The sequence below is a fragment of the Homo sapiens genome, chromosome 8 (assembly GCF_000001405.40).
Source record: "Homo sapiens chromosome 8, GRCh38.p14 Primary Assembly".
Taxonomy (NCBI): Eukaryota; Metazoa; Chordata; class Mammalia; order Primates; family Hominidae; genus Homo; species Homo sapiens.
The window spans coordinates 94,306,161-94,312,419 of NC_000008.11; the positions used below are offsets into that span (position 1 = coordinate 94,306,161).

At 41.6% G+C, this 6,259-nt stretch overlaps 1 long non-coding RNA gene across 1 annotated transcript, besides 1 other annotated feature; it reads right to left on the reverse strand.

Annotated features, from left to right (window-relative positions):
• Positions 1-247: 247 nt before the first annotated feature.
• LOC107986896 (uncharacterized) lies at positions 248-5,749 on the reverse strand. The gene is made up of 3 exons (XR_001745728.2): positions 2,602-5,749; positions 1,563-1,753; positions 248-910 (listed from the first exon to the last, which is right to left on the reverse strand). It is a non-coding gene; the product is annotated as an uncharacterized LOC107986896 (long non-coding RNA).
• Positions 1,534-2,733: an enhancer, noted in NCBI's record as "BRD4-independent group 4 enhancer chr8:95319922-95321121 (GRCh37/hg19 assembly coordinates)". NCBI's record gives its function as "activates an origin of replication core promoter dependent on BRD2, P300/CBP, MED14 and CDK7 cofactors, and independent of BRD4, by STARR-seq in HCT116 cells {active_cell/tissue: HCT116}" and the evidence as "EXISTENCE:reporter gene assay evidence [ECO:0000049][PMID:35650434]".
• Positions 5,750-6,259: the final 510 nt, after the last annotated feature.

A 6,259-nucleotide genomic window follows, 5' to 3' on the forward strand; every position in this document is an offset into this window, starting at 1 on the left:
TAAACTGATATGGTATGTACATATATATATACACACACATATACATATATATACACTTTTATATATATACACACACACATATATATATGGTGGTCCTCAACCAGGAGGCCACTGAATCACCATGAAAGGCTTTTAAAAGCCCATGTGCCTGTAACAAGGAATGAAGTACTGCATACATGCTACAGCGTGGATGAATCTCAAAAACCCCATGCTAAGTGAAAGAAGTCAGGCACAAAAGTCCACATATTAAATGATTCCATTTATATGAAAGGTCCAGAAAAGGTAAATCTACAGAGACAGATCATATATTAATAGTTTTCTGGAGCTAGGGGTGGAAATGGGGAATGATGGCAAACAGCAAGTTTTCTTTTTGGGATGATGGAAATTATTTAAAATAAGATTGTGGTGATGATGGTTGTACGACTAATACAAATAATCATTTAATTGTTCACTTAAAGTGGGTGAATTTTATGGTAGTAAATTATGCCTCAATAAAGCTTTAAATAAATATATGTGCCCTCATTTCTCCCAATTTGATAGTCCTGGTGGGAAAAGAGGGGGATGTGTATTCTGAAAGAATTTCCTTCAGTTCTTATACGTGCCTTCTCTGCTCCCACTTAAGAATCACTGATATAAGCCCTTGTTCCTCAAAGAGTAGTCCATGGGCCAGGAGCATTAGCTATCCCCTGGGAACTTACTGGAAATCCAGACTCTCAGGCCCCAGTGCAGAACTGTGCTTTGTGTCTTGAAGTTGGTGAGCACATTCAAGTTTTGGAAGCACTGCTCTAGAACCTTCTGCAAACAGTGACAGACCAGCTTTCCCAAGGTCTTTGCTCTTGTCATGCCCTTGTCCTTTAAGAATCCAACATTTGACAGGAGGAGTCCTTTCTCTGAGAACATGCTTGCCTTCCTGCAACCAGATAATAGTGGGGGGGGATAAAAAAAGCTTCTTTTCAAATTAAGGTCATTAGTTATTTGTTATAAACAACACTAATCAGTGTTGACTGTGTGCCTCAAAGCCTTGCCCAAATGTTTATGTGTGGCTGAAACCAAGAGCGAAATACCAGACATCTAAGGAGTGCAGCCCTCACCCCGCTTTCTAGATGGACACTGCAGAATCCAAATCCAAAATCTCATTTACTGTAGCTGAGAGGCCTCCCTGCAATCTGTCCTGTTGGTAAGCTGCCCTCACTACTATTTCTTTCAGTAATCACACAGCACAAATATCAGATGGTTGGCATTGTGCACTGGAAAATAACCTAGACATGAGCAACACTGCCATATTCTGATGCTTCAAAGTGAATAATACAGCAGACGCCTTATTTCTAATTGGTCTAATTCTGGCCTGGTGGACAAGCAGAAATTGTGTTTTAGAAGCTGCTCTGAGAACTGTTAATTGCCAAAGCTAATGACTGTCCCATCCCCAAAAGATACTGGCACTGAACAGTAACCTCAAATACCTACATAACAGAGAGTTTTCTTTGCAATTTTTACTCTAAAACTGTAAACAGTGACTAAGCTGTTTGTATTGGAAGTGTTATTCACTGTACCATTGAAATTACCCTGTCCAGAAGGAAAAGGTCAGAGCCTTGTGGATCCCTTTGATTGGTCCAGAGATCGAGTTCATGTTACCACTGTCAGGACCAGGTACCCCTGGAGCAGTCCCCTCAACCAGACATGAAGGTGCGGGGCAGGGCACATCGGCACCAACTGGCAATTAATGGCAGCATTTGGCAGGTCATGAGAGTCTCGTCTGAGAAATGTAGAAAAGAAATGAGTGTTTAACATTTTGTATTTTGAGGAGAGATCATAAATTAAATGTCAATATGATGGAGGAAGAGAAGGAGCCTTCCTGGGGCAAGTAGGTGCTGATTATAATTGGAGACCTGGAGAGAAAACAAATTGCATTTGGCAGCATGAAAATAAATGATTGTATGTGTCAGGGTTAAAGAAAAATCTCTTCTGTTTGAAGTGGGGAGTTGCTTTGGAACCTAAAGGGGGTTATTGCCTAGATAGGAGAGAGGGGAGAGGAACGTTATGAACTTACGGAGAATGAATGTAGTATGCTTGATCCTAGCTGAAGCATACTTTACGTCAGAAATAATGAGGGAGGCCAGGCGCGGTGGCTCACGCCTGTAATCCCAACATTTTGGGAGGCTGAGGCAGGTGGATTGCCTGAGCTCAGAAGTTCGAGACCAGCCTGACCAAAATGGCAAAACCCCATCTCTACCAAAAATACAAAAATTAGGCAGATGTGGTTGCGGGCACCTGTAGGCCCAGCTACTGAGGAGGCTGAGGCAAGAGAATTGCTTGAACCCAGGAGGCAGAGGTTTCAGTGAGCCAAGATTGCACCACTGCCCTCCAGCCTGGGCAACAGAGTGAGATCCTGTCTCAAACAAAAAGAAAAGAAATAATAAGAGTCTCTGAGCAAAGTGGGACCAGACTGAGCAGTTTGGTTTTTTTTTATCTTCTGAGTGTAATGACGTGAAAAGTTTTATCTTGCAGTTCAACTTCACTCAGCTGCCTTGAGTTGGCTGCCTGGAACATTGTGTCAAAGATTCTAAGGCCGTGTTTGCACTTTTCAGAAAAGATTAACAATACCTGCCCTGGGAGCTGGATGGCGTCTGCATGCTTCACGTCTTCTGACGTAGGGTTATCGTAGAGAAGAGCCACCAGAAGTTCAAAAGCAAACGAACTCTATTAAACAGAGAAATAGTGTTGAAACCTATGTGCCTACTACAAGAGATACAATTTCCTCCTAAATTTTTAAATTTCCAAACTTGTGCTAAAAAACAGATATGCAATAAGAATTGCATCATGAATTTAACTTGTTTATTGATTCATTCAAGTATTTTTGTGTGCCTACCAGAAGGGTAGCACCAGGGATAAATGATAGGCACGACAAATTGCTTCTGAGCTCCAAGAATTCACAGTCTAGTACAGGAGACAGGCAAGTAAATGGACCACAACAGCTGCAGAACTCTTGAGCATACAGTTGAGGATACTGGGGTAGGTGAAAAATGGCCCCCCAAGATATCCACATCCCAATCCTTAGAATCTGTGAATGTTCCCCTATATGGCAAAAAAGGGTCTTTGTGGGTGTGATGAAGTTAAGGATCTTGAGATGGGAGATTATCCTGGATTATCAGGGTAGGCCCTCAATACAATCACATATGTTCTTATAAAAGGGAGGCAAGGGTTTGATACAGACAGAAGATGATAAGGCAATGTGACCACTGGGGCAGAGAATGGAATGATGCAACCACAAACCATAAACTGTGGAATTCTGGCAACCACCAGAAACTGGAAGCTGGAAGAGGCAAGGAAAAAATTCCCCCTTAGAGTCTCTGGAGGAAGCACGGTCTTGCCAATACGTGATTTCAATCCAGTGATACTGAGTTCAGATTTGCAGCCTCTAGCAGTGTTACGGAATACATTTGTGTTACTTGAATCCATAAAATTTGTGATAATTTGTTACAACAACCATCAGAAACTAATACAGATGCTCTTGAGAGCTCACGGGAAAATGGCTCATAATCAGGGTTCCTGGGTCAAGTTTGGGAAATGATTCAGGCTGATTTAGATAAAAAAACTCTCTGGAAGGCTATGGGGAGAGGGACTTCAATATGTGGTTCATAGGATCTAGAAGGGCTGGAAGAGCAAGCTCAGAAGGTGAGAGTATTACCAGAGGAAGGTTTCCGAGACACACAGCACCAAAATATGTTAATGGCAGTAGTTATCCGTACAGGTCTGCAGCAACCTCAATTCTTGTCTCCTCAGAAGAAAGAATTTGAGGGACATAAAGCAGAAGGAGAGACCAAGGCAAGTTTTAGAGCAGGAGTTAGTTTATTAAAACTAAGTTAGCTTATTAGAGCAGTAATGAAAGGAAGGAAAGCACACTTGGAAGAGGGCCAAGCGGGCAATTTGAGAGACCAAGTGCATGGCTTTACCGCTTGACTTGGGGTTTTATATGTTGACATACTTCCGGGGTCTTCCATTACTTCTCCCCACTCCTGAGATCTTATTGGGAAGCCGCTGATCACCAGTTTCAGGTGTGTTTTACCTATTAGGAGAATGCCCTTCCCTGGTGCCGGCTGTGACCAATTATTACTTTAGAGGGACAGCTAACAACAACCTGACTATCACTGATGGTTGCCCAACACTCCTTGTGTGGGTTGGGGGAGCCCTCTCCTGCCCTGCTCATACCTGATTAGCTACCTACTATAATGGGAGGATCCCAGAAGGCTCCAAACACCAAGTGGAAAGAACAATTCTTCCATGAGGCAGCTACCCCTGCCCCTGGAAACAGGAAATGAATTCTGGCCATCTCTTTTATCTTTGTGTCGCTCACTTGTGATCTAAAATTCCAAAAAGTAGGGTCAGATTGGGTGAGACCTAGATTGTTAGGGGTTGGGAGAGAAAGATGTTCCCCTCTACAGCTTCCTCAGTGGTACAAGGAGTAAAGGATCCCACAAATACTACTATAAGACAATTCCTCCCTAAACTTGGTAGGGTTTTAGATGTTAACAACAAGAAACAACAATAATATAACCAGAAATAACAAATATCCATACCAGAAAACACCTAATCCTTTTGGGGTTGCTTTTGGAAAAAATTGATATGTAAGCTGGAACCTTAAAAAAAAAAACAGGGGAAGTCAGCTGTGGGTGTTTTAGGGTTGAATTATTTCACATGCCTGCACACAAATAAAGCCCTAATGTGTTAATATCTCAGCTGACTGACCCGCTCATCAGCCCTGGCTCCCATTTTCATGTCTTACTGTTTTACTCCTGACCACAAAGTGTGAAATCATCCAAAAAGATTTGACAAGGAAAAATAAGATGATGGGGTTGAACCAAAAGACACCACATATGGGCCCTTCTGGACCTCACTGTTCCTATGTCCTCAGGGCTTCAACCTGGAATCCCCCATAATCAAGGGCACCGACAGCAAAAGTGCCATTGTTGTAATTAATGAAATGTGTATTACATTGCTTAGCAACCCCGCTCTGTTTGTGTGACTAACTCCTTGCCTGAACACATATAACTTTGGCTCTCTGGAGAATATAACTGAGTCACAACTCTACTTTTATGAGATCAGGGAAGAATAAAAACTTTATTTACCTACATGGTTGCCTGCGGTTCCTAAAATGAAGCAGAGCTCTAAGACTTTCAGGTGAGATGACTCAGAAGACTAAAGGAGGATAATGAGGATTAATGGGAACAGCAAGTTTCAAGAACAGGCTGAAAATAAATTCTATTATCATTATTCTTCCAACAAAGTGGAGAGATCCAGTCTGAGGGGTCTTTGTCAGCCTGGGCACCAGTATAAAGTCTGAGATGGTCAGTAAAGTCAGTAGGTTTCATGTTAAACACAGTCAATCCCTTGCCATTGTTCTTAAATTGAGCCTGTATGTCTAGAAGTTTCCTGGGAAGAATGTAATGTTTATGCTCTATGGATGAGATTAAAAGCAAATTTACTAAACATTTAGCTAAAGCATACCCAACTATTTACAGATAGCATATGTTATTATGGATATAAATGAGTCTATAAGCAAGTAATTCCCATTTAGGCCACTGGAATCCACCATCGCTTCATAACTTCCCCTGACAGGCTGCTCCTCAGAGTCATGATCTGTCTCTTCCTTGCCCAACATTTCCTTGTCCCACCTCCAGGGGAAGCACAATCAAGGAAAGGGGTCAAACAACCTGTCACTTGGCAGTTGTGTGCCATTAGCAACTCTCAGAGTCCCAGATTCCTGATTTGTAATTTGCACAAAATAATGGTACTTCAGAGGGTTGTTCTTGAAATTTATTAGATACTATGAGATACTATCACTGCCTGGCACGTAAGAAACACTCAGTCAATAGTAACTACTTTGCACTGGGTTGGAATCCTAGCTAGACCACTTATCAGCTGTTGACTTTGTACAAACTACTTTACATATCTGAGCTTCCATTTCCTTCTACGTACAACAGTGATAACAGTGCCTATCTTATGAGAAATTCTTGAGGGTATTAAATGAGATAATATATAGAAATTAATATGACACAGAATGAGTATTCAATTAGTAGTCATTAACTAGTGGGAACAACTTTACTGTTTCTACCCATTGTCTCTCTTAGGTGGGTTAAGCTAATGCTTGGATAATTAGGGATACCTGGTTCTTTCCTCCTAAAAAGACAAATTTCTCTAAGTTACTATGATTTTTAAAAATAACTTAAGGAGAGAGATAATCTCTTCTACAGCTTGGTGTACC